The sequence below is a fragment of the Homo sapiens genome, chromosome 10, assembly GCF_000001405.40.
Source record: "Homo sapiens chromosome 10, GRCh38.p14 Primary Assembly".
NCBI lineage: Eukaryota > Metazoa > Chordata > Mammalia > Primates > Hominidae > Homo > Homo sapiens.
Genome location: NC_000010.11, coordinates 97,870,369 through 97,894,081, shown reverse-complemented (window position 1 = coordinate 97,894,081; position 23,713 = coordinate 97,870,369). Strand labels below are relative to the sequence as shown.

The 23,713-nt window shown below is 49.7% G+C and overlaps 2 protein-coding genes and 1 non-coding gene across 4 annotated transcripts in view, besides 7 other annotated features; 2 read left to right on the top strand and 1 right to left on the bottom strand.

The window, feature by feature from the left end:
• Positions 1-23,713, top strand: part of CRTAC1 (cartilage acidic protein 1) — a 165,622-nt gene that overhangs the window by 136,540 nt on the left and 5,369 nt on the right. Inside the window, exons 12-15 of one of the 2 annotated variants that reach the window (NM_001206528.3) lie at positions 9,731-9,876; positions 11,254-11,296; positions 13,690-13,833; positions 14,281-14,431. In NM_001206528.3, coding sequence (NP_001193457.1) covers positions 9,731-9,876; positions 11,254-11,296; positions 13,690-13,833; positions 14,281-14,399 — 452 coding nt within the window. In that variant the 3' untranslated portion in view covers positions 14,400-14,431. Of the gene's footprint in view, positions 1-9,730; positions 9,877-11,253; positions 11,297-13,689; positions 13,834-14,280; positions 14,432-23,713 lie in introns of those variants that run through there. The other variant, NM_018058.7, reaches the window with a different exon arrangement.
• Positions 4,043-4,655: an enhancer, noted in NCBI's record as "H3K27ac-H3K4me1 hESC enhancer chr10:99649184-99649796 (GRCh37/hg19 assembly coordinates)". NCBI's record gives its function as "activates a minimal SCP1, AML or CMV promoter by ChIP-STARR-seq in naive and primed H9 embryonic stem cells {active_cell/tissue: H9 hESC(naive and primed)}" and the evidence as "EXISTENCE:reporter gene assay evidence [ECO:0000049][PMID:30033119]".
• Positions 4,136-4,430: an enhancer, noted in NCBI's record as "tiled region #340; HepG2 Activating non-DNase unmatched - State 23:Low, and K562 Activating DNase unmatched - State 6:EnhF". NCBI's record gives its function as "activates a minimal TATA promoter and a strong SV40 promoter by Sharpr-MPRA in HepG2 and K562 cells {active_cell/tissue: HepG2 | K562}" and the evidence as "EXISTENCE:reporter gene assay evidence [ECO:0000049][PMID:27701403]".
• Positions 4,656-5,268: an enhancer, noted in NCBI's record as "H3K27ac-H3K4me1 hESC enhancer chr10:99648571-99649183 (GRCh37/hg19 assembly coordinates)". NCBI's record gives its function as "activates a minimal SCP1, AML or CMV promoter by ChIP-STARR-seq in naive and primed H9 embryonic stem cells {active_cell/tissue: H9 hESC(naive and primed)}" and the evidence as "EXISTENCE:reporter gene assay evidence [ECO:0000049][PMID:30033119]".
• Positions 5,269-5,882: an enhancer, noted in NCBI's record as "H3K27ac-H3K4me1 hESC enhancer chr10:99647957-99648570 (GRCh37/hg19 assembly coordinates)". NCBI's record gives its function as "activates a minimal SCP1, AML or CMV promoter by ChIP-STARR-seq in naive H9 embryonic stem cells {active_cell/tissue: H9 hESC(naive)}" and the evidence as "EXISTENCE:reporter gene assay evidence [ECO:0000049][PMID:30033119]".
• Positions 10,879-12,078: an enhancer, noted in NCBI's record as "P300/CBP strongly-dependent group 1 enhancer chr10:99641761-99642960 (GRCh37/hg19 assembly coordinates)". NCBI's record gives its function as "activates an origin of replication core promoter dependent on BRD2, BRD4, P300/CBP, MED14 and CDK7 cofactors, with strong dependence on P300/CBP, by STARR-seq in HCT116 cells {active_cell/tissue: HCT116}" and the evidence as "EXISTENCE:reporter gene assay evidence [ECO:0000049][PMID:35650434]".
• Positions 11,296-11,590: a silencer, noted in NCBI's record as "tiled region #14177; K562 Repressive non-DNase unmatched - State 23:Low". NCBI's record gives its function as "represses a minimal TATA promoter and a strong SV40 promoter by Sharpr-MPRA in K562 cells {active_cell/tissue: K562}" and the evidence as "EXISTENCE:reporter gene assay evidence [ECO:0000049][PMID:27701403]".
• Positions 17,758-18,258: an enhancer, noted in NCBI's record as "H3K4me1 hESC enhancer chr10:99635581-99636081 (GRCh37/hg19 assembly coordinates)". NCBI's record gives its function as "activates a minimal SCP1, AML or CMV promoter by ChIP-STARR-seq in primed H9 embryonic stem cells {active_cell/tissue: H9 hESC(primed)}" and the evidence as "EXISTENCE:reporter gene assay evidence [ECO:0000049][PMID:30033119]".
• Positions 18,185-18,269, top strand: MIR3085 (microRNA 3085). The gene has a single exon (NR_162124.1). It is a non-coding gene; the product is annotated as a microRNA 3085 (primary transcript).
• GOLGA7B (golgin A7 family member B) overlaps positions 22,504-23,713 on the bottom strand; it is a 21,736-nt gene continuing 20,526 nt past the window's right edge. Inside the window, exon 5 of the mRNA NM_001010917.3 lies at positions 22,504-23,713. This exon is cut by the window's right edge and continues 4,779 nt beyond it. The gene's annotated coding sequence lies outside the window, so the exon portion shown is untranslated.

Here is a 23,713-nt window from a genome sequence, read left to right as displayed (position 1 = left end):
TTATATCCACACAAACATCTTTACATTTGTTCATAGTATCTTTATACTTAATAGCCCAGAACTAGAAACAACCTAGGTGTTAATAGTTCAAGTGACTGTGATACAGCCCTTCCATGGAATATTATTCAGCTATGAGAAGAATAAACTATTGATACGTGCAAAAACTTGGTAGATCACCAGGGCACTATGGTGAGTGAGAAAAGGGGAGAAAAAGCTCATCTCCAAAAGTCACGTATGGTAGATTTTTGTTTACATAACATTCTCAAAATGACAAAATTATAAAGACGGAAAACAGATTGGTGGTTGGCAGGGCTTAGAGATGGTGGAAGAGAGAGGGGTGGGTGTGACCATCATCAAGGGCAGCCCGAGAGGGTCTTTGTGGTGCCTCATGCCATGGCAGATCCCTGGGTAGGCAACCTGCAACCATTGGGTGAAACTGGGTGAAGGGCGCAGAGGAGCTCTCTGTACTATCTTTGCAATTTCCTGTGAATCTATAATTATTTTAAAATACAACATTTTAAAATAAATGTATGGGGGGAATTGGGGAAAAAGTCTAAAGAGGCTTCTGGCAGGGTAAGGGGATTACAGTGATGGAAAAAACATTGAGAAACACCAGCAGGAGTAGAGGAGCCCAGAGTGTCTTCACTGAAATGCAATGGTTCAGAAAGCACTGGAGTCAAACATTCCTAGGTTCAAAATCAGACACCTTCCCCAGGTGTTCACACCTCATGAGATGATACCATTTTAATATAAAAGGAATAGGCACTATGGTCTCAAATTAGTAAATACAAATGTTAATATTATACACACATATGTGCAGAAAAAAAACTGAAAGGCAATGCAAAAAGTGAGAACAGTGATTCTGTCAGAGTGGCTGGATTAATATAGTAACTCTCACTTATTCTAGACACAGTGCCAAGCACTTCACTCTTATTACTTCATTTAATCCTCATGACTACCTTGTGAGATGAGCAATATTATCCCCATGTTACACATGGGAAAACTGAAGATCAGAACAATTAAGAAACCTGCCAAGGTCACATGATACTTAAATGGCAGCACTGGGATTCAAACCCAGGCTTCCTTGAGCGTGTGGTTTTTATTTTCTTCCATATGTTTTGTCGTGTGTGTGTGCTCCAATTTTTATAGGGAACACATAATATTTATGTGTAGTCTGAAAAAGAAGCAATAAATATTTAGGGGACCCAGAGCCTGGTTATATGATCATTTTCTTGGGCTATTTCACCCTGGATAAGTCAGCCTGAGGTTGGAGTGTTTATCACTCCTAAGGCAGCTATGTGCTAAGCTGGCCCTAAAGGCACAAGATACCTTTTAAATACATAGTCCTGTCTTGCAAAGTAGCAGTAGCCGACACTTATCAAGCAATTAGTATGTGCCAGGCACTGGGCTGAGTGGTTTGCCTAAGTCACTTCATTTGATTTTCACAACTTGAAGAATCAGGTAACATAACCCACATTTTACAGGTCAGAAAACTGAGGCTGAGGTCAAGTAACTTGCCCCAAACCACACATCTACAGAGTAAGGAGAGCTGGATTTGGATCCCACCTCCCTGACGCCACGGTCTGAGTTCCTGACTGTGGCTTAACACCTCTGGTAGCTGCTTTGTGCAGCCAGCCAAGCACCAAGGTGACCACCACGGTATCGTAGGTGGTTGCTTATCCAGGGTTCTGGTTGGATATCAACTCCCCCACTCCGTTGTGCCAATAAGGACATTGAGGCTCACCTCGCAAATCAATGGCAAGGGCAGAATGGGGGCTGAGATTCTCCTTCCCCACATCTCAGGGGCAGCCTCTGCTATTTTAAGAGGTGTATTAGGGGCCTCACTTGGTCCCTTCTCTGGCCAGAATCTGCCCTGCCAGGAGAATAGATTGCTTTTTTAACTGGAAAGCCTTAGCCAGGTCATGTGGTGGGGAGAAGGAGGCTCAAGAGCCCCTTCTGGGCACCTACTCCCCACACTCAGGCTTATGTACACTGCACTTCATTGGGAGCTCCGCCTGGTGCAAGTCCTTGCTATTTTGCAAGGCCCTGGGATTTGTTCTTGGTCTGAACTCTGGCTCAAACTGCTCTAAGGGGCCTCCCGGCAGACTCCTCTCTCTGTTGACAGGGTCCATTCCCAGCGGCACTAGAAGGCAGGCTGCTCTAGGGGCAGGGCCCTTGGGTCACGAGGCGCCTCAGCAGGTGGCCAACCCAGCCGCCAGGGACACAGCGAGAGGCGGGGCAGTTCCATCCCTGCAGCTCCAAGGCCCCTCTGGATCTTTTATGAGTGGAGCTCAGCACAGCCCTTCCTGACCGATGGGGGAGCCAGCAATGGAGCAGGAGCGAGGGCGCCAGTGGAGAAGGCCAGATGGAGGGAAGGACATGGGGGTGCGAGAACAGGGGGCGACAGAAAGACAGAGGTGAACCTGTGGAAGACCAAGAGAGGCAGAGACATGGGGAAAGAGGCAGAGAAGAAATGCCCCCTGCCCTCCAGGCTGGCAGTGGGCGGAGGAAGGCAGATGGACACGGGACTCTCATGCAAGGCAGATCTGGACACACCGCCATACTGGCCCCGTGGCCATGAGAGGACTCAGGCGAGAGAAATCAGTTTTGTTCTGGGCAGCTTCCCAGAGGAAGTGGGACTGGAATTAGGTCTAGAAGGACAGTAGGAGCTTAGAAGGGGTGGACGAGGGCCTAAGGAGACCATTCTAGGAGTTGGGCTGGCTTGGCCAAAGGCCCAGAAGTGGGAAGGTCCAGTCCAAAGAACGGGAATGTTTGGGAAATTTTTTTTTTCTGATTGTAAAAACAATGTATATTGATTATAGGAAAATAAGAAAACTATTTTTAAAAGAAGAAAAATTACTCATCATTTCACCACTGTTTGGAATATTAAGGAAAAAGTAAATGTTTCTTCCTTCACCTTCCCTCAATATCATTTGATTCATTTAGTGACTACATATTTACTGAGCACGTACTGTGTGCCAAACATAAAACTGAAGATCCTTGCCACAAGCCATCTACGTTCCAGTAGAAGGAACTTATATACATAATACACATAGTAAATAGGTAAATATATAAAATGTTAGAAGATATAATGGGCTACAAAAAAAGAAAATGCAGCCGGGTGCAGTGGCTCACGCCTGTCCTCCCAGCGCTTTGGGAGGCCAAGGCGGGCAGATCACCTGAGGTCAGGAGTTTGAGACCAGCCTGACCAACATGGAGAAACCCCGTCTCTACTAAAAATACAAAATTAGCTGGGCGTGGTGGTGCATGCCTGTAATCCCAGCTACTCGGGAGGCTGAGGCAGGAGAGTCACTTGAACCCAGGAGGCAGAGGTTACGGTGAGGCAAGATTGTGCCATTGCACTCCAGCCTAGGCAACAAAAGCGAAACTCCGTCTCAAAAAAAAAAAAAAGAAAGAAAAGAAAAGAGAAAAGAAAATGCAGAACAGAGGAATGGATTGGGAGTGCAGAGAGGAAGGGGCAACAAGGAGCAGTTTTCCAACACAGTGGTCCAGGTTGGACAGGTCATGCTTGTGATATGCCTTTATTACGTGTCATATACACAGGAACACACTTACAGACACATATTTCTTGGCAATTTTTAAAATCAAAAGAATGATATTTTCCAATTGTTTCTGTAACTTGCTTTTTTTCCCCCTCTTAACCTATGTCCAAGGCTGGGTACAGCGGCTCATACCTGTAATCCCAATGCTTTGGGAGGCCAAGGAGGGAGGATTGCTTGAGGCCAGGAGTTCAAGACCAGCCTAGGCAACATGGCGAGACCCCCCTTTCTACAAAAATTAGCCCGGTGTGGTGGTGCAAGCCTATAGTCCCAGTTACTCAGGAGGATGAGGCAGGAAGATCGCTCAAGGCCAGGAGTTTGAGGCTGTAGTGAGCTATGATCACAACACTGTACTCCAGCTTGGGTAACAGAGTGAGAGCCTGTCTTACATACACGTGTGAGAGTGTGTGTGTGTGTGTGTGTGTGTGTGTACACATCCTGGACAGCATACCAAGTCTGTGCATATATCTTGTTTCCTTTCAGTGCTGTGGAGTATTTCACTGTGAGACAGCACTCACACTCATCATCTATTTACCCAGTCCCCTCTGGAAGGACAGTTAGATTGTTTCCAATTCTGAGCAGTTGGGGTGAGAAGCGGGAATGTCAACAACATGAATCTGAGAAAGGCCTGCCTTGAGGTCCCGCATGACTGAGGAGTAGAGGGGAGGGGCCGGCGGGAAGCTCCCCTGCCAGCACTCACAAGGCTTCAGCTTGCCTGCCCCCAGGGCCCCTGCCCCCTTCCTGCCTCCATGAGTCACGCGCTGCCTCCCCATGACTTTGCAGCAAGGTGCAGTGCGCATGTGTGAGTACACGGACATGTATGTGAGTGTGTACACGTGTGCATCTCTCAGACAGCCTCAGCCTTGCCCCATGTACATCGTGTCTGCTCCCGCGGGAGCACACCCAGAGGACGCAGGCCCTCACCTGTACTCCCCACCTCCGTCCATGGGTAATGAGTGCATGCGGGGTTCCCAGAGGGCCCACTGTGTTGTGCAGAGCTCTCATAGCGACATCTTGCTGTGGGGTCCCTTCTCAGTGGACCCTGCCTTGCTCAGTGGACCCCCCCCCACCAAGTTCCACAGCCCCTCTTCACCCTGGCCTGTCCCTGCTGCTCCTCGGTGCAGACGGACCTCCAGCTGAAAATAAGCATTTCTGCTTATGGCCCTGGTCGAGGGCTCCCCCACCGCCAACCTGGTTGCTCGGAACCCACCCCCAAGCCCCACATGCCCACCCTCCACTTCCCAGCTGGCAGCGGGCTGAGGCAGCTCACTCCCAAACCCGGAAAATAAAAACAACACCAATCATCTATTTGCCTCCGCCAGCTCCACTGGGAGTCACTGGCTCAGGCAGCCACCCCAACCATTCTCCCTCCCCCCTTCCCCCTCCCCCCCTTCCCTCCCGCCTCCACTGCCCCTGGTATTGCTGGTGCCCCAGCCCCACCCACACATGCCACCGCCTTTCAGCTAATTGCTTGCAGGTGACTCAGAGCTGCCTCTCCGAGCCGGCTGATGCTCATTTAGGGAAGGGAAATTCAGTGGCCCACATAAAAATTGCTTTATTAAAGTGCAAAAATATTCTACCAACTGTATTCCCACCATCTGTTTTGTTTGTAATTCTTCTGAAAAGTGCAATTCTCTCTGCCTCCTTGGCCTCTGTCCTTTAAAAGCTGCCAGAGGTGACTCACTGCTGCTCCTGACCTCATGTCTCTGCTGGTTAATGGGGGGCGCTCTTCTGCTCAGCCCTCCCCTATACACAGGCCTGGCAGGACCAGCTGGCTTCGAGGCTGCTGGTGTGCGGTGTCTGGGAGCCAGTCCCCCTCAGCCCGTGCAGCCCCGGAAAGACTTAAGATGTTACGCAGATTTCCTGGGCAGAGGGATGAGCTGCGCCTAAGGACAGGAGACTGGTTTCCAGTCCTAGCTCAGACACCTGCAAGTCACTTCCCCTTGTCAAGCCTCAATGTCAGTATCTGGAGAATGGGGATAAATACCCACCTCGTAAGTGTGAAGCCTCTGAAGCCCCTCCCCAGTCTCCTCTGATACACATTCCCACCTGATACACATTCTGACACTCTTTCCCGCTCTGAACTTCTTCCCGATCTTCAGCTACAACTTACCCTTTCACGCTGCTGTACCTTGGCCCACACTGTATCCTCTCCCTGGAACGCTCCTTCCTTCCCTTCTCCGCCTCACAAACTCTTACTCCTCCTGCAATACCCAAATGAAATGACCCATCTCTCTCACCACATGGTAACAGTGCTGTTGTGGCACTTTCCCAGCTTATAATATAATCACTTGTATTCATCGCTCCCATGGGAATCATGAGAATGGGGCCTGGGTCTGTCTCATTCTCTGTTGAATCCCAAATCCCTGCACAAAGCTTGGTATATGGTGGCTGCTGGGCGTGGGATAGGGTGGGCAGTGTAACAGGGGCACAGTAGATACCGGCTCTGGGATCTCTCGGACCTCTGCTGGGCAACTGGGCGATTCACTGCATCTGTCCATGGCTCCACCTTCTCATCTCTAAGGCAGAAATGATAACACTGGCACCTTCCTCGTGGAGATGTGAAGTTTCGATGCGTTAGCATCATAAAGCACTTGGTACAGCTTGGGGCACGCTGTCAGTGTTCACTGTTGTTACCAACACCTGAAAGCCCTTTGGAAACTGTAGGGAGACCCCATGACCAAGAGCCGATGGTGCCAGGGATGCTGAGGTGAATGGTTAACAGCAGGCCAGGACTCCTGCTCCAGGGTAGAAAGGCTGTGCTTCCTAGGAGTGGTAAGGCTGTTGGCCAGCACCCCCATCTTACAGATGAAGTAGCTGAGGCCCAGAGAGGATGCCCAAGTTAGCAAAACACAGTGGCAGAGGAGGGAGTCCTGCTGGTTGTGCTTTCTGAGGCCTGCTTATCTCATAGCCCCAGGCCCCCTGCACCACGTCTGGGTCTGGAGGAAGCTGCGGAAGCAGTACTCAAAACTAAGTCCCGCTGGTGGTGGTGACTCACGCCTATAATCCCAGCACTTTGGGAGGCCGAGGCTGGGTGGATCACCTGAGGTCAGGAGTTCGAGACCAGCCTGACCAACATGGAGAAACCCCATTTCTACTAAAAATACAAAATTAGCCAGGTGTGGTGGCAGGTGCCTGTAATCCCAGCTACTCGGGAAAGCTTTAGGCAGAAAAATTGCTTGAACCTGGGAGGCGGAGGTTGTGGTGAACTGAGATCCCACCACTGCACTCCAGCCTGGGCAACAAGAGCAAAACTCCATCTCAAAATAAAAACAGAAAAAAAAAAAAAAAAAACCTAAGTGCCGCAAGTACCACATGCAAATCTGTGATTGTCTATGAATATTCCGTGACTCTTTTGGGTCCTTTGTGGCCCTTCAGTCAGTCTGGAAAACACATTCATGTAGCTGTTCTGCAGGCTTAGGTAAGAAACATTTGCTGTTCTTTGTCTCCTTCTTTTAATGGCAAATATTTACCTTTTATATGTGCCACTTAACTTGGGAACTGTACACCCTGAAAATGCCAAATCTCTTGCGCCTCAAGATTCTACTTCAAATTAGAAAAAAAAAAAAAGAAATCTGGCCGGGTGTGGTGGGTCACGTCTGTAATCCCAACACTTTAAGAAGCTGAGGTGGGTGGATCACTTGAGGTCAGGAGTTTGAGATCAGCCTGGCCAGCATGGCGAAACCCTGTCTCTACTAAAAATACAAAAATTAGCCAGGCGCGGTGGTACATGCCTGTAATCCCAACTACTCAGGAGGCTGAGGCAGGAGAATGGCTTCAACCTGGGAGGGGGAGGTTGCAGTGAGCTGAGATCCCACCACCACACTCCAGCCTGGGTGACAGATTGAGATACTATCTCAAAAAAAAAAAAAGAAAAAAGAAAAAAAAATCTGTAGTTGGCACTCCCCAGTCCCATTTTCACCCCGCTTCTGCAGAAGGAATTCTTGTAGATTGAGGGAGTGATGAGAAATAATTTCTTGCTTGATAAAGCAAAACCCAGAACGGTAAGGTTGGGCCTGGAAAGAGAGGATTTCCCTGTGGGAAGAGAAACTGAGCTGTGTGGGAGGGGAACTCAGTGTGTGAGGATGAGCCTCTGTCTCCGAGCCTCTCCGTTGCTGCTGCCTGCTGTGCCCATGAGGGCAGCGGCTGCCTCTCCATGGACTCTTCAGAGTGTAGCTCTGGTCCTGGCCCTCATAGGCTCACAGCATGGCAGCAGCAAGGCTGGGATGTTCCAGTGATACTCCCCTGGAGGCCAGGGTGAGAGAGCAAAAGGAGACCAAACATGGGAAGGATCTAGAAGCTGGGGGATGTGGCTCACAAGGCGTAACTCCCTCTGGAACCTCCCTCATCATGGGTCCTCCCCCCAGCACCCGGCTCCCTTCCTCCATGCCCCACAGTGGTCTCTACAGGAAGTCTACACAGAGATTCTCCTCCAAGTCTGCATGTGGCCTCCAAACCTCCTTTTCTAAAATATGGGAACCCCTTTTATACATCAAGACATTTTGCCAACTACCGTCCACCCCATAGTAGCTATCATTGTAAAATTCATTGGTGGATAGTAATGACCAAATGCGAATATACATTCAACAGCAATTTTAAGTTTAATTTGTTTTCTAACAGTATCTACATATATTAGGAAAAATAATGGTGCATATATGTGGGTGATATATTATTTAGCCTGGGAATGGTGTTTGGGGGAGTGTATTGACTTCAGGTCCCCCTGCAGGACCCCGTGTCCCCACATCTGCTCAGCCCTGATGGGTGATAGAGTGGGCTGTGTTCTCCCCCTGTCTGTGCTGGGCACAGCTCTCCTTCCCAGGGGCTGACCTGAGAGCAGCCTCTCCTGGAAGGTGAGGCCCAGCCCCCGCCTCCTCCCCACCCCAATCCATCACCATTAGCCTGACCTTGCCACAGTGACGGGCCTGTTTCCTTACGCGGGGAGCTGGGGCCTGCTTTGACAGTGCCTAAACATCTGACAAATCTTTTCAGCCTGCTTTCCACCAATGATGTGGCACGTTGCTTTAGGGTTGTGTGCAAATGGATTCACTGTGAATATCTCTGAGGTTCCCATCATCTTCTGTAAGCATCTTAGATTTGTAGAATGGTCTTTCTCCCCTGTCCTCCACCTGCCATCTCTTTATCACTCCATCTTTTCTAAGTTGTTTTTTGTTTGTTTTTATTTTTTTCAGAAACAGGGTCTCACTATGTTGCCCAGGCTGGCCTTGAAGTCCTGGGCTCAGCCAATACTTCTGCCTCATCCTCCTGAGTAGCTGGGATTCCAGGCATGAGCCACCATGCCCAGCTCTTTTTCCAAGTTATTATGTAGAGCTCAGTGCAAATGCCGCCTCCCTAAGAGGCTGTCCCTGACCACCTGACTAGACAAGGCCCTGGCAACCCCCAGCTCCTCCTTACCTACTTGCCCTACTTTTGTCAATATCTGGCATTATTTATTTGTTCATCTGTTTGCTTGTCTCCCCAACTGGACTGGGAACTCCATGAGAACAGGGGCATCCCCAGTGACAAGAGAGAGCCTGGCCCTTAGCAGAGCTCAATAAATAGAAACACAAGAAGCATTCCTGGGATAACAAAGCCAGTTAGCTGCACAGCTGGGATTTGTCCCCAGGTCTCCCACCCACTTCCCACCATGCTCTTTCCAACATACCAGGTAAGGGGTAGAGCCATGATTTGAATGCCAGACTCCAAAGACAACCTGCTTATCACAGGCCTTACTGTATCCTCCAGTACAGCCTCCTGATGCTTGGCCTGTCTGCTAGAACGTGAGTTCAAGAGCTGCACTATCCAACATGGCAGCCACCAGCCATGTGTGGCCATTAAATTTAAATTAATTAGAGTTAAATAAAATTGAAAATTCACCTCTTCAATCACGTGAGTCCCACTTCAAGTGCTCAACAGCCACATGTTACCAGTGGCTACTGTACTGGACAGCACAGATGCAGGACATTTCTGTCCTTGCAGACAGACAGGTCTATTGGACAGCATTGCTCCAGAGAGGAGGGACCTCAAATCTGTCTTGTTCACCATTTCCCTAGCACTTAGAACAGTGCTCAATTCATGCTTTTATTCAATGGATGAATTAGTTGATGCTGATGCTTCCGCTGAGAGCCTCCTGCTCTCCTCTGCTGCTGATGCTCTCTCCTTCTGCCCCTCAGGGAAGGATGAAGCCAGCAGTGTGGAGGTGACGTGGCCAGATGGCAAGATGGTGAGCCGGAACGTGGCCAGCGGGGAGATGAACTCAGTGCTGGAGATCCTCTACCCCCGGGATGAGGACACACTTCAGGACCCAGCCCCACTGGAGGTGGGCAAAGGCATCTGGGCCTCATAGCCAGAAAAGCGGGCACCACCCACAACCCCATGGGCTGAAGCTGGGTTCCCAGGAATCTGCAAACTCAGCCTCTAGAGTGATGGAAATCTTGGCAAAGCGAAGGCTTCATACTGATCCCTCCATTTGTAGTTTGCACAACACTATCACACCCACATCTCTTCTGCTTCTCAAAGAATCCCTGGTGTATTGGCAGGGCAAGCATTTTTGCACCCATTTTACAGAGGAAGAAAACTGAGGTTAAGAGAGGAAATCCACCAAGGCCCACCAAGGCTGTACAGCCAGTTGTGAGCAAAGTTTTAAAATGACCCCAGGTCTGTTGCTGCCCTCCTGGTTCTTTCTGAGTCTCTGACAAGACCTCCTATTGCCCTAGGGTGGGGCTCAGAGCCTGCACCAGGTTTTCTGGAGGCTCTTTGAGGAGCAGCTCTGGACCCATCTCAGCAGTGTCGTTCCAACTCTGATGGGGTTCACTTGGTGGCGATTAACAGGAACCCACTGAAACTGACACAAATGAAGGGGGCTTATAAGGAGGATCACTCATAAAACTCAGGGAAGCTCAGGATGAGTAGAAACTGGCAGCTTGATGGCCTCAGCCCTAGGAGCTCAAGGACCTTTGTCAGTGCACTGGCTTTGGGAGGAGAGGGGCCCCTCTTCCCCAACAATCCCCATCCACCCACCTCATTCATCAGTACGGTTGATTGACATTTTGTGTCATGTGTGTTACGTTTTTAGTCCCCTGCCCCACCCCAGGCTGCTGTCTCTGAGACCCCCATATGGGCATGGTAGAGCCTCCACAGCCTGGCAGGGCCGGCTCCCAACTCTTAAGTCTCTGAGTCAATTTGTTCAAATTCTTGCTGCAAAGCCTTGAGTCTTCCCTCCTGCTAGGATGTCCACCCATCAGCCCTGGCCAGAGAGGTGGGACACAAGCATGGCTGCAGGCACCCACCCGTGTGAGGGAGAGGTTCTTGGAGAAGTGAATGTGGGCAGTGAGCAGACACCTCAAAAAGCATCTCCCAGCCCTCATTACACTTTGCCCTGACAGACCCAGCCTCAGTCACAGGGTGATGCTACAGAAGGGACAGGTTCTGTTAGACGTCCCAGCTCGTGTGGATCCTTTGCACAGGGAAATGAGCAAGAGTCTGAACCGTATCCATTCATGGCCTTCCCGCCAGCCTTCTGTTCTCAGCGCAAAGGAAGGGTCTTACAAGGGAGGGGGCTCCCCCCAGGCCCAGAGCTCAGAGCATGCCTCACACTGTGGTTAGGGTGACAACTACTCTGTGGCTGTGACTAGGAGGGAACCTGGGATGGGACCTTCTCAACTCACTCATGTCTCTGCTTCTGCCCACCTTACAGTGTGGCCAAGGATTCTCCCAGCAGGAAAATGGCCATTGCATGGGTGAGTTGCCTTCAGTCACCAGGGCATGGGGTAGAGGCCGGAATCTCCCTGGGGAATGCCCGCCTGACTCATGCCAAGGTCCAGGGTGCAAGCAAGGGGCAGAAAGGAGGACAGGGGAGGGTGTTGTTTGTCCTGGGACTCCAGATGCCAAGACAACCACCACATGACTCACCAGGGTGGGAGTGATATTAGTGACCCACAGGCTGAATCACTGCGGTTCTGGAAACTGGCAGTGTTTTCCTGCCATGAGTACCGAGAAACTGCAGATGGGAAGGAGACACACCACCAACCTGGCACAGGGGGAATAGCCACATGCCATGGCCAGCAAGTCCATGTGGAGCAGCAAGCAAGGGGGCTGGCAGGCAAGGGTGTGCATTGCCAAGGGCATTGGGGCAAAATAGTGTATGGAGTGTGGTCACAGTGTGGAACGGAGACTGCAGCCTGGTGCAGTACTGGGGCAGGCAGGTAGCTGCAGCACTACCAGGATGGCAGCTCCTTGACGGTCCAAGAACCTTCTGAAAGTCCCCAAGAGCCTGGAATGGGAAGGGGCAGCCTAGAAGTTCAGTGTCCAGGAGACCTTCACCCCCAACACTTTCCATCCCAGTGACCAGCAAGGAGGGGTCAGGCCAAGGATCCCTCCTTCCTTGAACCCTCATCCAGCATTCTTCCCAAGTCTACTCTGCAGCTGCTCATTAACCCTTTGCTACTGAGATACAGGAGTAAACAAGACAGATACCACTCTCAGGAGCTGAAAACCAATGGAGAGCCACAAAAGTAAACAGCTGTCGACCACACAGTGTGATCAGGGCCCAGATGGGGGAGGGCAGGGGCTTGGAGATGACAAAGCAGGGGCCCTAAACCAGCCTAGGGAGGGTCCTAGAAGGTGCCCTAGAGAAAGTGAGGTCCAAGCTGGGCCCTGAGGAATGAGGAGCAGTTCGGCAGTCACAGAGAGGGGAGACATGGTTCTGGTGGGGGGCACTGTCTGAACAAAGGAGCACAGGTGGGGAGGTGGAGGAGCAGTGGTGCCAAGGGTGGCTGGAGGAGGAAATGACTCCCCTACACTCTCCACATGCCCACCCAGCCCCACTCCAAACACATAGTGCAGGTGCATAGAAATTCCAGAGTCTTCTCTGCCTGCAGGAAGGACCCTTTGAGATCAGCCTCCTCTTCCTTTTCATCGCCCAACAGGCAGTTATGTGCCTCGTACACAGCAAGTGTCATGCTGGGAGCTGGGGATGTAGGCCAAGTGCCACCCCCGCGCCTCCACAAGAGGGGCATCCATTCTAGTGGAGGGAGACAGACCCTGAACGCATGACCACACACCTGGACAAGATGATTTCAGAACCCTCTGAGCAAGGTGCTCCCTGGAGACTGTTCCAGAGAGAGTGGTCAGGGAGGGCCTCGGGGGGAAGACTCTGAGCTGAGACCTGAAGGATGAGAAGGATCTAGGCCCAGAAAGAGTTGAGGGAAGGGCAGGAGTGAAAAGCGGGAGACAGGACAAAGGCTTTGTGTGTTGAAGGAGCAGGAGGGATGCCAGTATGGCCTGGAGATGATGGAGAGTCCATGAGGCCCCTGTAGGGAGTCTGAATTTTGCTCTTAGGAGCCTTAGAAGCTAAACTGGGGAGTGACATGATGTGATTCACATTTTTAAAGGCTCCCTCCAGCTGCTGAATTGCAGAGTGGATTGGAGGGAAGAGGGGAAGCCAGGTATTCTGTGAGGAGGCAGCTGCAGAAATCCAGGCAAGAGGTCACGATGGCAGGAAATTGGGTGGTGGCAGAGGAATGAGAAAGAGGTGACAGAGAGAGGTGGACTGGTGGACTGCGGGGCAGAGTGGACAGGCTCTGCTGTGAAATTGCACAGGGGGCAAGAAAGACGGAGAAATCAGGGGTCGCTCTGATTTCCCCTTGAGCAGCTGATTGATGATGGGGGTGTTGATTGAGCTAGAGAAGACAGAACAGAGGGCCAGAATATGGGCAGGGCAGGGCAGAATCTGGAGTTCTATTTTGGACATATTAAGCATGAGGTGCATCTTAGACATCCAAGTGGAGCTGTCAAGTAGGTCATGGGTTATTGTATTCGTGAGTCTGGAGCCACGGGGAGAGGTTGTGACTGGAGATAGAACTTTCGGAATCATCCATGCATGAAGAGATCACCTAGAACGATTGTAGTAGACAGAAGAGAGGACCCAGGACCAAGCCTGAGTGCCCACCCCCTGCCCCCAGCATGTAGAGACCAAGTACAGGAGGAGCCAGCCAAGGGAACTGAAGCAGGGAAACTGAGGCTCTGCGAGGAAGGCACATTCCCAAAGCCAGACAGTGTATAGGCAGGCAGAGCCTGGGCTGGTACTTGCTGCCCCACACCTTCATGGTGAGTGGTTCCCCTCGCCTTGCAGACACCAATGAATGCATCCAGTTCCCATTCGTGTGCCCTCGAGACAAGCCCGTATGTGTCAACACCTATGGAAGCTACAGGTGCCGGACCAACAAGAAGTGCAGTCGGGGCTACGAGCCCAACGAGGATGGCACAGCCTGCGTGGGTGAGTGGGGCCCCAGCCATAGGCCAGTAGCAAAAGGATGTTGCTTTCCACTGGGGAGCTCTGGGTAGGCCCCAGATCAAGGTCCCCAGCCCCTTCCTTCTCCTGGCTGGATAGAGTCTCCTTTGACCCATATTGGGTCTCCAGGGAAGACCATGACAGAGGCTTGGAGAAGCCCCATCACTTCTACCATCACCTGAAGGGCCAGGGGATGCTGTGTCCTGGCCTGAGGCTATCATTCTTCTTACTTTTCCTAAAACAACTGTTCCTACCTTGAGGTCAGCCCGTATTTTCATAGCTGGGATATAAACTAACTCCTACTACTCATCTTTGGCTGAATTTCTAAACTGGTAATTTCTTCTTCCCAAACTCCTTCCTCCACCCCCACCCCGTCCCCACCCCCTTTCTCTTTTTCCCATTTTCTGTCTCCCCGCCGCATCGTTTTTGCAGCTCAAGTGGCCTTTTTAGGTGGGTATTCTTCAGCCGCCTCTAGAATCTCTGAGCCTCTCTCTCGGGCCTCATATCTTTCTCTAGGCCTTGGACTTTGCCTTCAGTTATATGCACTTTAAATCCCATCAATAAAGGAAAAAACAAAACAAAACTAACAGCCTTTGTGGAAAACTAAATCTCTCTCCTGCTGCTTGTCTCTCTCTCCACGCCCAGTAGGTTCTGCTGTGTGCTCCCTCTGAATGGACAACAGGGGTGGCCATCTTTGAAAAGGGAAGGTTGGGCGATACTGACACAACCTTAGTTGTTTGTGAAGACTTTCTTTGCATGTTTTCTGAGAAAACAGAAAGGAAAGTCTCCAATACCCCATCCAGTCTCCCTCACTCCTTCAGAAGAATCAAGATAGTCTTGTATCCTCCAGTGTCTCGTGAGCTCATTATTTTGCCCTTAACAAAGATGGCTCCCAGGTGGTTGCTTGCCGGTTGATCCGATAATGTACCATGTGCCTGCTGGTTTGGCCTGTGCTGTTTCTGCTTTTTGCCCCTGACTTCCTGTGCTAGAGAAAGCCTTATTGGTGTTGGTGGTGGTGATGGGAGGGAAAAGGGTGGTCCTTTGGGACTCTTGATAAAAATGTTATCATTTGAACTTGCTAAGCCTTCCAGCCTCTTTTCTGAAGAAATTATGCCAATAAACTCTCTACTAGATATTAGTGCCAAACTGATGATAAAAAGGGTCTGGGGCAAGTAGAACTGATTGGAATGCTGAATTAGGAGCAGCCCTTCCACCATGAGATGCTTTGAAAGCAGATCATAACACAAAGCAGGTGTCACCCTCAGGCACCAGCAGTGGTTTGGTTGCGTACAACAATGTTCACATTTGGGGGACCAGGGTTTGGGCCAAGTGAAGGATGTGTGATGAGTGAGGGGCAGAAATGGAGTGTGTACTCTAGGCCTTTTACCTGCAGGAAGTCACTTCTCCATGCTGTGCCTCAGTTTCCCTAATGTAGATGACAAGAGAGTTGGGCTGGTATATCCCTAAGGGCCTTTCCTTTCTAAGACTCCTCAATGTCTGGCTGGACATAGGCCTGGCTCATCTCAGGTTACTCTGATTTCTAGAAAGAACCTTGCTACTTGGTCTCTGCAATCTCCTTGGAAAATAGAATGCTCCTGTAGCCAGAACACTCTTTGGAAATGATGTAACGCCACAGAATATGCTCACGACCAGCCTCAGTAGTGAAGGCTTGTTATAAAACATAGATCTATTCTTCATGGGGAAAAAAAGTCATCCCAGGATATAATAAAATTACACTTAAGAATGCAGCAACCCTTTTAAAAACATATTCAACAAAAAAAAAGCCCCTGCCATTTTCTGATATCATGGTAATACTCCTAATAAATCACAAAATATGAATTCCTTGTAGCTAGTGCTGTTTTTACACTTAGAACAGAAGCATAAATGAAAAGTTTTTAAATTAAAACAGCTACAATTTCCCTGAAAAGCAGACACCAACTTAAAAATCATTCCACTTCTAGAAAGCCCATTCCTGTGTATTGACATAGAACTAAAGATCTGAAAGGGCTCCAGAGATGAGGCTCAGAGAGCTGAAGTGTTCAAGGTCACTGTGCCCAAGGTCATGGAGCCCACTGCTCCCCAGGCCAGGGCTGGAGCCCTTTCCCACCACACCATCTTGTCAGAGGGTAACAGGCAGCTCTGTCACTGTTCAGACTATTCCCTAGTCCTTCTGGAAGCTGCTGCCTTTTAAAAAATGAACAAAGTGGATCTAAGATAGTGAGATAAGTAAAACCCAAAACCCATGGAGGAATGGTTCCAAATGCAGTGGTAAATGACAAGATAACAGAGCCCATTGACTGTCCATACACAACAGCACAAGAAATAAGGGACAAGACAACTACAGAGATGGCCTGCCAAGGACATCAGGGGGTTCAGGGTGACAGCAGACTTCAGATGATGCCTTATAAGTGACAACCATGAATGCCTTCACAATGAGTTTTATATAACAGGGTATATCTGTGTCATGTGATCCTGTTGGGTGAGTGGGGTCCAGTGAGTTGCAAAGAGGAGTTCTAAGTTCCCACAGCTGATAAGAGCACCACTGCAGCACTCAGACTCCAGGATAAGGCTTCCATTTGATTCATTCATGAGTTCAACAGATACTGATTGAGCACCTACAATGTGCCAAATATTTGGTTAGGCTCTAGGCGTACAATGGTAAATGAAGGTAACAATGGTAAGTAAAAGTAATATGTGTTGATCCCCTACTACTATGTGCAGGTACTGAGCTAGGCTCTAGGCATACAATGGTAAGTGAAAGCAATATTTGTTGAGCCCCTACTGTGTGCCCAGTACTGAGCTAGGCTCTAGGCATACAATGGTAAGTGAAAGTAATATTTGTTGAGCACCTATTATGTGCCAGGTACTGAGCTACGCTCTAGGTATGTAATGGTAAGTGAAGGTAACATTGTTGCCACCCCTACGCTGCCTTCCCTCCAGCCAGATAGAGGAGCCAAGTGCATGGGATGGGAGTGGGACACCAAGGGGCTTTCTAAAAAGTTGAGCTGAATTCTCAGGTTGCTATACCAGAAAGCAAGCTCTCTGCATTCATTCATTTACATATTCATTCAGCAAGCATTTATTGAGAATATCCTGTATGACAAGCACTAGGTTCCTCCCATGAGGAATGTGATAGAGACCCTCTAATGAGGTGGACAAGTCCCCTGCCCCCAAGATGCTTGTGTTGCAAGAGATACAAGGCTGAAAGATACAGAGGACAGGTGGATAGTGAACCCACTCAACATTACCTACCCCCTTACCAAAAAAAAAAAAAAAAAAAAAAAAAAACAGAGCCTCCTCATTGAGCTAGCAGTACAGGCTTTTTGAACAGGTGCCTCAAATTCAATGCATCTACTGGTCTGTGCTATACCAGCCACAGATTTGCGGGTGCAAAGCCACCCCCAAGCTACCCAGGCTCAGCATTCCCATTCCCCTCTTTCTTCTAATCCCTTTCTCTGAGACCCGTGGGAGCCCAAACCGTTCCGTCCCCTCCTGCACACAGATAAGTCTGTCTTTTCCCTGTCCCTTAGCCCCACCTAGGCTCCTGACATCTTTGTTGCCTTATGCTACACTTTAATTTGTAACAAAAATAACAAATGCCTTTAGGGGCAGTCAAGTAATGAAATGGACCCGGAAGGGATTATGCAAATGGAGGAGCTGGTGCCCCACCTGCCTGCACCAGGCAGCCACAACTCACTCCAGTGGGAAGGTGGGCCAGTGCTGCCACAAAAATGCTCCCCATTTTTCAACAAAAAAGAAATAATAAGAATAATACCATTTTTATTCTGCTCAAGAATACTCCCTCTTCACAGGCACATACCCCTTAAAATGACAATAATAGCTTACATTTAGTGGGCTTGGCGTGTCTGGGTTGAATCTAAACTCTTTACAATAATCAACTCGTTTAATCCTCATAATAATCTCAAGAGGAAGGTATTGTAATTATCCCACGTTTACAGATAAGCTAAATGGTTTGTGCAGGGTCATACAGCCCAGACAGACGAAGGCAGGACTGGATCCCAGGAGTCTGGCTGTCAGCTGGCACTCTCAACTACCACTCCCTTCTTCATTTGGGATGGTGAATTGGTTTAAGCAAAAGCCACAGTCACTCATGCTGCCCAGGATCAAGAGCAGGATTGGGAGGGGAAAAATGGAGCCCCTGGAGGCCTAGTGATCTGAAATAGTCCTCCCCACGGTCACGTTCAAGTCTGCAAGAAGAGGTGGCAGTGCTTGCTAATGTCGAGAGTCCCCTCGCCAGGCGGGCTCAGCCAACCTTCACTGAGGCAGAATGGTAAACCATCCACTAGGCCTCTTCAAGCATCTACACGGTTGCCAACCCTACTCTGGGAAGGTGCCATTCTGAGGGCCAGGAGTTTGATTATGTGTCACTCTGGCTGCTATGGCCCCCTCCCAGGGTCTGGGTATCACACCCAGGCCAGTGCCACTGGACCTCGGCCGAAGCAGGAACTCCGCTCCAGACTCCAAGAGCCCCGTGTAGACAGGAAGATGAGCACTTCATTTTTGCAGGGAGCCAGCCAAGTTCTTCCAACAGATTCCAGGCTGAACCTCCACCCAGACTTCCAGCCCAGAAGGCAAACCGAGCCCCTCCCTGCCTCCCTGTGCCCAGGGCCAGTCTTCTCTGAGGCCAGAACCCCAGCCACAGGGGCCAGGAACATGCCAGAAGTTGCTGTTGTGTCTGTAGCAACAGGCATATCCTGGAAGGAAGGCAAGAGAACATGGGCTGGTTAACACCACAGATGACGCCAGCCTCTCCCACGGTGGCTTGTCCTCTAAGGAACTACTGTTGACAGTGAAGTGGTCAAAAAATAGGCCACCAGAGGGAAAATGAGACGCAAGAGAGAAGAAAAACATCCTCCAGGAAAGCAGCTAACATTTATGCAATGCCTGCCATATGCCAAGAACTTTACATCCATGTCTCCATGAATACTCACACCCATCCCAGAATATAAATGTTATGAGTCTATTTTATTACCAGAGAAACTGAGACTCAGAAACAGTAAATTACACAAAGTCACATAGCTAGCTAAAGTGGCAAGAGCTGTAATTCAACCTCATGACTAGCTCCAAAGCCTGGGTTCTTAAGCCTTATGCTGTGCGATCTCTAGGTAACTGACACTGGGGAAGTTATTTAACCAGTTGTTCATGTGATGTACAGTGACTGAACGCCTACTGTGTGCTGGATGTTGTTCTAGTGGCTTGGGATATACATCTGTGAACAACACTGGCAAAGGTCCCTGCCCTAGCAAGACGTGGCAGGCACTAAACAATACCCAGAATAAGGAAAGTCTGTAGCATGTTGGAGCATGATACGTGCTATGGAGGGCTGGAGAAGAGTAACATCAAGGCCATCCGGGAAGGCCCGGATGGAGGTGGAATGCCATTTTAAATAGCGGCGGGGGCAGGGGGGCTCCCTGAGAAAGAGGCATTGAGCAAAGACTTAAAGTAGGTAAGGTGTCTTTGAACCTCAGTTTTCCCATCTGCAAGATGGGGATAATACCTCACAGAGTTATTATATTAGACTTGACATGGTGCCTGGCACATAGAAAGCCCCCAACAAATTAGAGATACTATTATTAAGTAGCCACGTTCAGGATGGAGCCCCGGGCCCGTTCAGTGCCAAAGCTCCTGTGCTTCCCGGTACACCCTGCTGCCACCCAGGACACCTGTGGTGGGAGAGATGGGCAGGACGGGGCCACCTCTGGAGAACTGACAGATTCACCAGAAAAAGATGGCAAATGGCCATAAGGTGCAGAGCCAACCTTCCTGGGGCCTGGGCTGTGCTATGTTCTGCTGAATTCTCATGCAGTGCCATTCCCAGAAAGAATAGTCATAAAACAAAGTGAACTGAGCTAGGCGGGCATGGCATGGACTGGGCCATACAGAGCAGAGGTCACCAGGAGCTAGTGAACTGGCCTGGGAATTTGGCCCTCAACAATCACAGAATCCTAGAGCTTTAAATCCAGGAACACCTGAGAAGTCATCTAGTCCTCTTCCCTCCTTTTCAGACGTGGAAACCAAGGCCCAAAAAGGAGCTGCAACTTTCCCAAGGCATCTGCACCCCCGTCTGGTCCTTTTTCCTGCCGGGTTGCCGGCTGCTCCTCAAAAGAGCTCAGCTCCAGGCTGCTCCCAGCACCCTTCTCCAGAAAGCTCCAGGTATTCCAGAAGCCCAAGTGTATGAACAAGATCAGGAATAAGAGAGGCAGGGCTTATCCTTCCCACTTTGCTGACATGGAAACTGAGTCAGGATACGTGCCCATCAAGTAACAGAAGAACCATACTTGGTCCTTAGAACTCAGCTGGGATTAAATACAGATCTGAATGGGGGTCCCGAGTGCAGAGAGGAGCCTGTTCAGCTGTGAGGAGGGAGGCAGGGTCAGGAGAAGGGTGCGGCAGATGGAGAATCTGTATCACCCGTTCCCAGAACGTCCCGCCCAGAACCTCATGCCCTCAGCCTGCCTGCCAGCAGGAAAGCAGTCTGGGGCCAGAATAATTCCCCTAAAGCTAGCTGGTTCTCCTTCTTCATGGCCAGCCCCAGAGCAGCCAGGAAGGATCTCATCCCCTAGAGTCATTTAATGCACCCTCCCCACAAATCTAAGGGCTAACTTCCCTCCCTCCACCCCAGACCTGGCTGTAGAGCTCCTGGAACAGGAAAAAAGCACATCCTCTTTCCCCAACTGCTTATGGAGACCATGGCAGAAGGACAAGTTTAGGCCAAAGGAAGGAAAGTGAGCCAAACATACACCCTCTCTGCAGTTCAGATCCCCAGACTCAAGGTTTAGAGCCCTCGAAGGCTGACACAGAAGAAAGAGGGAGAAGGAAGCCTGGGGCTGCCCTCGTGTCACCCAGTCATTGGAAAGTCTCAGTGCCTCCTCCCACTGCAGAAGGTGTCTCACATGTGCCAAAATGCCATGTTCGTTCTTAGAGCTGTGCACAAATCCTATGGCCCTCCCCTCTCCCTTCCTTTCAACTGTCCTTAAAATTTTCCCTTCACACTGAAACTCTGGGATCAAATGGACTTGAAATCCAGACCCTCCACCCAGGCATTTGGAAGTGGCCTTAAGAAGTTGTTTCATCTCTGAGCCTCAGTTTCTTCATCCACAAAATAGAGGCAGTGATAAAATCCTCATAGAGTTGTTGTGAGGCTTCCTCGAGCCTATAAGGTACTTGCTGCAGTGCCTGACTGATGAAATGCAGATATTGTCATAAAATCTGTGCCAGGACGTTTAACCTCCTGGTTTCACTTCCAGCAATGCCTGACTTTAAAACAATCCATAAGCCATTAGCTGGGGCAATATTAGACCTATAAGGATTCTTCCCAACAAGACACATCCATCACTCAGAGTTACAAATGCGGAGTTCATCTGGGGACTGGGATAGCACGGCATCTTCCCTTTGAAGAGCTCCAGCCCTATATTTAGATCTGCACTGGGGAGCCCAGGGGCGATCGGTACCCATCCATTCACCTGCCTCTCCAGGGTCTGCGAGCATCCATCTCAAGCCAGGCAGGCCTCTCGCTCATCTCTGATCTATCAGTCATCTCTCTATACCCATCTTCTCTGTATCCATCCACTTATCCAGCCAGCCAGCCATCCAGCCAGTGATTCACTCACAGTAATTCACTCTCTAGGGCCTGAGGTCCAGATCTCTCAGGTAAAGAATTCAGCACCAGAAGGATTTTCCCCACCTCAAAATGGTGTTTGGGGAGTGTCAGGCAGGGCCGACTGGGGTGGGACACACGCTTCCTCCCCTCCTCTCCCAGGATAGGTAGAGGTCATGAGCAGAGCCACAATGTCACAGCTAGGGCAACATCACTGAGAGCTGCTGCCCAGCTCAGGGGGTAGCCTGGGGTCACTGCATCCATCCTTTAATTGAGTTATAAGGTGACCACTTGCAGGTGAATTGTATCCTTCAGTGACCACTGCCTATCTGCATGGTACTGAGCTGCTTCTCAGTGGCACCTTGCCCTAGGGGTCTGCAGATGACACATCTGTATAGGCCTGCCTCTTCCTGCCAACCTGAGATGGGCAGCATCTTCCATTCACCTGGCCAGGGCCAGGCCCTGAAACAAGCACTCAGGATAGGGGGAGGTGGGGGTGGGGGTGGGGAGTGAGTAAGACAGGCTCCCTGCCCTTGAGAAGTGTACTGATTAATTGTGGGCAGCAGGGAAAAGGACCCTCGCAATCTCTGAGGTCTTGTAAGCTGTGTGTAAGCTTGTGTGTAACATTGCCCCCTTCTTGGGGCCTCACTCAGCACTGTTCTCAGGTGATAGCTGGTTCCCAATCACTTTTCCATTACAGAAATCGATAACTTGAATTACTCCAAAATAACTAGTACCTTCATGCCCCTGCAAAGCTAATTTTTCTGGGGATGCATTTGCCCACGAGTTTCTCTCTGGTCTGGAATCTGTCTTCTATCTTTATGAGTCAATCCAGGTAGAACACTCTCTCTTCTCCCACGTCTCACTCTTGTGGCAGAGTGAGAGTGGGATCTGGAGTCAGAGACTTAGGTTCAAGTCTTTGCTCTGACACTTACTAGCCCTTGTCAAGCTACCTAACCACCTAGAACGTCAGTTTCCTCATCTGTAAAATAAGATTTCAACACCCCAGTGTTCGAGAATTAAATGGAATAATAATGTACATGAATGTTCCTGGCATTTATTCGGGAATCAGTGAACCCTTGGATAAATATCTGTTTATTCTATGCCAGAATCTGAAGCCTGCTATAAATCTACATCATGAGGCCATCGTATAACGAGGTCCTAGTATCACTTCTGCAATAACAATATCTTACATTGGAGAAACAGATGATTATTTATAAATATACACATTCTCATAATGACAAAGGTGAGACTCAGGAAAGTTAAGTGAATTGCTGGGGGTGGGAAAGGGGGCAGCTGGCACAGCCCTCTGACTCTCTTCACAGTTTCCCACTTCCTCCATTGTCCCTGATTCAAAACCCGACGCAGCTCCAGGATCCTGCATGCGAAGTTCTGCTGTCCAGCAGATGCTGAAATGACAGGCCCTTTGAACATCCTCTTGGAGGAAGAGTTGTGAGCTTGGTGCAGGCTGCCCTTGGCACTGCCAGGGGAATAAATCCTCCTAGAAGTCGCCCGAGAAGGCTCATGCGGAAACCTCCGAAGGCTGGGCTCTGAAAGGAAGGAAAGAAACCGACATTACCAAGCATCTCTTTCATGCCAAGCACATTCATGGCCAGTTTCTTACTGACTCCTCAAAACCAATTGTTCTTAACCTTTTTAGGGGGTTGCATACCCCTTTGAGAATCTGCTGAAAGCTGTAGATGCTCTCCTCAGATAACGGCACATAATATGCACCTGAATGCAGTCGGGTCGAGGTTAAGAACTCCTGGTGTGAACCTGGGCTGTTTTCAGATTTTCTTAGGCATCAGGGACCTTCCCTTTTAGAGGGCCCACCCACAGCAGAGCAGACATTACATTTTCACACACACACACACACACACACGTAACATAGAGTTGCAGTTGTCTGTTTGGCATATGTGTTACATTTCCAGATATTTAACAAAACGTTAATTTCAAGTGTGTCCTTTCTTTTCCTATTTTGTAGCCAACAGGCTTTTCTGGTGAATTTTATTGAAATATATCACCAGTACAGACAAATACACAGCTCTTAAGTATACAGCTCAGTGAATTCTCATGAAGTGAGCACCCCGTGTAACTGGCACTCTGATCAAGAAACAGAACATCCTGAGCTCCCAGAAGCCCCCCAGGTCCCCATCCATTCGCTACCCCCGACCCAGGGTAATCTTGATCCTGACTCCCAATCAAAGGCGAGTTTGGCCTGTCTTTCAGTTTCATATAAGGGGAATC